The sequence below is a fragment of the Homo sapiens genome, chromosome 20, assembly GCF_000001405.40.
Source record: "Homo sapiens chromosome 20, GRCh38.p14 Primary Assembly".
Lineage (NCBI taxonomy): Eukaryota > Metazoa > Chordata > Mammalia > Primates > Hominidae > Homo > Homo sapiens.
In genome coordinates this window covers 40,652,571-40,657,138 of record NC_000020.11, presented here as the reverse complement: position 1 = coordinate 40,657,138, position 4,568 = coordinate 40,652,571, and the positions used below count along the sequence as shown (strand labels likewise).

The 4,568-nt window shown below is 48.1% G+C and overlaps 1 annotated feature.

The window, feature by feature from the left end:
- Window positions 3,785–4,284: an enhancer, noted in NCBI's record as "H3K4me1 hESC enhancer chr20:39281495-39281994 (GRCh37/hg19 assembly coordinates)". NCBI's record gives its function as "activates a minimal SCP1, AML or CMV promoter by ChIP-STARR-seq in primed H9 embryonic stem cells {active_cell/tissue: H9 hESC(primed)}" and the evidence as "EXISTENCE:reporter gene assay evidence [ECO:0000049][PMID:30033119]".

Sequence of the window (4,568 nt, the reverse complement as noted above, 5' to 3'; positions counted from 1 at the left end):
GCAAGCCTAGCCTCTTACTCAGCCAAAGTATCTGGGTCAGATATGACTTTCTGAATGGTCCATATGGAACTTCTGACTTTGAAAATCAAAGTGCATTTCCATCAACAAGTTCAGAGCATTGAGAAATGAGCTGTTGGGTCAGATGGTGTTCTGATTATCTCTTTTTTGCTGCAGAACAAACCACCCCACAACTTGCTGGTATAAAACAACACCCCTTTCAGTACACTCACAAGTTCAGTGGGTCAGGAATTAGGAAAGTCACAGAAGAGACAGCTCATCTCTGCTTCATGACATCTGGGGACCTCACCTGGGATGACTTGAATGGCTGGGGCTGGGGAATCCACTTTCAAGATGGCTTCTTCATTCTTATTTCTGGTGCCTGGGTTGGTCTGGTTGAAGTCAGGGCTCACATGCAACTGTCAGCTAGAACACCTACATATAGCTTCCAGCATTGTGGTCTCAGGTTAGTAGAGCATTAGAGTTTCTTAATAGCAGTCTCCTGACTCTCAGTACAATGGCTCCATTAAATAAGGTAGATGCCTCATGGCATGTTATGATATAGCCTAGGAAATCATATAGTGTCACTTCTGTACTCTATTGGTCAAAGCAGTCATAAGTCCCTCTGGTTCACGGGGAGGGACCATAGGTGCACATCCTACTGGGAGTAGTGTCACAGGATTTATGGCTATGTTTTAAAACTGCCATAGATGGTTTATGCTGTTGCAGCTCTCTGGGATCAGGCCTGTGAGCTGAACTGCATGACCAAATACATTTTCCCCTCAACTTTTAGCATTAGAAAAGCACTTTAAAATCTTCCAGGTCACCACGTGTGGTGGCTCACGCCTGTAATCCCAGGACTTTGGGAGGCCAAGGTGTGTGGATCACCTGGGGTCAGGAGTTCGAGATCACCCTGGCCAACATGGTAAAACCCCGTCTCTCTAAAAATACAAAAAATTAGCCCGGCGTGGTGGCACATGCCTGTCGTTCCAGCTACTCTGGATGCCGAGGCAGGAGAATCGCTTGAACCCGGGAGGCGGAGATTGCAGTGAGTGAAGATAGCGCCATTGCACTACGGCCTGGGCAACAAGACCAAAACTCTGTCTCAAAAAATAATAATAATAATAAAAATAAAAAATAAAAAAATTCTTCCAGGTAGAGGAGGAAGGTGGCTTGTAGCTTTATAGGCCTGGGTTCAAATCTTGCTTCTATCACTTTGTGTCCATGGGGTCTTGGGCAAATCACTTAATTCATCTGAGTCTCAGTTTCCTTACCTGAATAGTGGAGGCAGCAATGATGCCGTAGTGAGGATTTGGTGAGCCAGTACAGGAAGATCTGATGCCTGCTGAATGCCTATAACAGCTACCTTTGTGATCATTAATGCTGTTTCATGTAAAATGAGAATAAAAATAGAGACCTCACAAAAACTGTCTTCCTGGCTCTAGGCCATCTGTGAATAGGGGAAATTCAATTCATGTTCTTGGGCCAGTCACTCGGCAAGAATCTGGAGACACAGAGATGAACGCAACAGCGTGGTCAGCCCTTGGATCTCCACATCCAGGGGACAGGGGAGGCATAGCGAGGCTGAGGGAGGTGATAGGGGGCAGAGCATTCATTCCCACGGAATGGTCATCAGTGCACTCATGGCACTCTTGATGGGGAGTCTCTGGACCATGCCAAGGGGTCTTCTTTGGTCCATTCTTAGTCAACATATTTAACATGGACTCAGTTAAAGTCTGACAAAGTCTTGCTGACTTTGTTGGAAAAGACCAAAGATGGGAAAAACCCAGTTTCAAAAGACCTCATGTGAAAGAGGCATAGCTATGGCTTTTAGCCGGCTCCCAATATTACCTACACTTTTTCAGTATTGTGTTAAGAGCTTTTCGTGTATCATTCCATTTAATCATCCCAACAGCTTTATGAGTTAGGTGCCTGTATTGTCTTTACTTTATGGATAGACACTGAGACTCAGAGAAACCAAATGGTTTGCCCAGGGCCACATGCTGTGTTCCAGCTGCCAAAATGCTGATGCAACCCCTGACTGCATGAATAGAAGAAAGTGTCCCGAGCAGGGGATGAGATACATTGTGTTCTGCACTGCTTAGATCACCCTCACGGGTGGCTCTCATTTAATTCAGAGGTACTGGAGACCTTCCAGTGGAGGGAAAGAGTGAGACCTTGGAGACATAGGACCTCACAGTCATGTTCTGTGAGGGAACACGCTCCTGATGTGGGAGAGAGAAAGCTGACATCAGGACCACTCCCTCATATTTCCAAGAGGCTGTTGTGGGCAAAGAGAGCTCCATGTTTCCTGTGAGCATGGTTCTGTATTAGACATTTAGAGCTGTTTGAAAATCTATCTGGTTCCCTTGTGATGTAGTGAGTATCCTATCACTAGAGGTGTTCAAAGCACAATAGGTTAGAAGTGCCATTGAAGGCAGGCCCGTAGTGGATGGGCTGCTGGACGTGTGTAATGCCTCTAGCACAATGCCTGGCATAGGGTAGGTGCGTGTATCAGGGAACCCTTAAGGTTTAGGATTAAACCTGGCTTTTCTGTAAAAATCATTTTTTTTAAAATCCAGGCAGCTCATTATATACTTAGGAGGTAAGAATCATTTTAATGATGACCAAACATATTACATACACAATTTCATTAGAATTTTGTAATAATGCTATTAATTGTGCCTACCTTATGGAGTTACTATAGTTGAGGAAACTGAAGTACAGACAGATTGAGCAACTTGCCCAAGGCCACACAGTAATTGGCAGATCTGGGATTTGAATCCAGGCCTCTGGCTCTGCCTGCGGTTGTCCTTGCCCATGGATCTTCCAGGGGCAAGCTTGACCCTCGAAGTTTCTGGCCAACACTTATAATAATGGAAGGTGCTCCAAGTTTCTTCTCAAGGCTCTGCCTCTGGGATCTTTGGGTTTACTAGCTGGAAAAGTGAGGACATGTGATAGAATCCCTCAACCAGTGGTTGGCTTGTGGACCCACCCCAAGCAGGACATAATTTTGATTCACCCAATGTGCCTATGTAGAGAATGCAGTCATAAACAAAATTGAAGAGATGCCTGTCTGCCTGAAGCTTATTTTCTGGTTGAAGAGACAGCAGAGAAGAGGCAACTGCAGTGTGGGCTGGTGGGGCTGTGAGTAGAGCAGATGTCAGGGCCTACTTATCTCCCTTTGGACCTCACCGTTGTAGTCCTGACTTCCCCCTGACTACTCAGTCCCAGCCCAGGGACTTTCTCTCCCTGCCCAAGCCCACTGTGCCTACACTTGGGGCAAGCTAGAAAATTGACGTCCATCTGGAATAGCTCCAACCAATGATTGATGGGCCTGGTGGATTAATACCACGGCTCCTTCCCTCTAGGCTGAGATAACTCAGAGCTGTGTGTTCTACACTGAACTCTGGAGCTCCTAGCAGAATGAACCTCTAGTTGCCCATGGTGGGAACTTGCCTGATAATATTCTTTATTGGCTGCCTTCCTGTCCCTGCCTCATTTCTCATTTCCCTGCCAGCAGATGTTGCGTTCACCTTCCACATAAATTACCTTCAATCTTCATTGTAGAGTTTACTTCCAGAGGGACCCAAATGACCATGGCATAGGACAAAGCTCGGGGGCTCTGTGAGCCTAGAAGAGGAGGCACTGAGCCCAGCTGGGACAGAGGTCCACAGAAGATCCCTGAAGGAAAAGAATGGAAGGAAAAGAATGGAGACCTCAAGGGTGAGTGGGAGTTAGTCGGCTAAAATGGGGTGAGCAGAGAGAGAAGAGAGACAAGTGTTCCAGTAGGGGGACCGGCATTTGAGGAAGCTCAGAAGCAAGGAAGGGTGGTGTGTCTGTGAATGGTGGGTGGACCATTACAGCTGGTCTGTGGGGGTGGGGGTGGGGGATTGTGAGTGATGAGGCAGACCCCAGACTTGGAAGCCACAGGGAATGATTTTTATTTTATTCTAAGAGTCCCCAGGGACAACTGAAAGATTGTCGGCAAGGGAGTGCCAGCCAGTGGGCCAGGTAAGAAGACCTGGGAGCTGGGAGGGTGTCTGAGGAGGCCAGGCCCCACAATGCCTCCTGGCTCTGCTTTCAAAGCCTCTCAGAGAGCAGGGAGAAAGAGGCCCTTCTGGAAAGATTCCTGGGTCCCTTTCAAGGAACCTCCTCTTGCTGCAAAGTCCCCCTCGCTGGAGCCCATAAAGCAGGGCACTGAAAGTAATTACAGGCTGGGAGAGGCCAGGGCAGAGACGCTGGGGATGTGCAGGGGGCAGGGAGGCGGACAGGAGCCGTCATGCTGGCCTGGCTGCCAGGGAGGGAGCATGCAGACACCAAAGCCCCCATAAAGTCGCCCAGAGTAGGCCCTCTTACAGGCATTCTGGGCTGGGGCATGACATCACCAGCAGCCAGTCAGAGGCTCCCCCAAGCCCCTTTTTCTTCTTTGGGGCCTGTTTCTGTGGTTATTGAGGTACATTCTTGGTGAAGGGGGTGTTTTCTTTTGGAATGCTTGAACCCAATAGGTTTTGCAGCCGCTGGCTGGGCCAGTCCTCCTCCTTCAGGCAAAGCCAGCCAACTGTATGTTC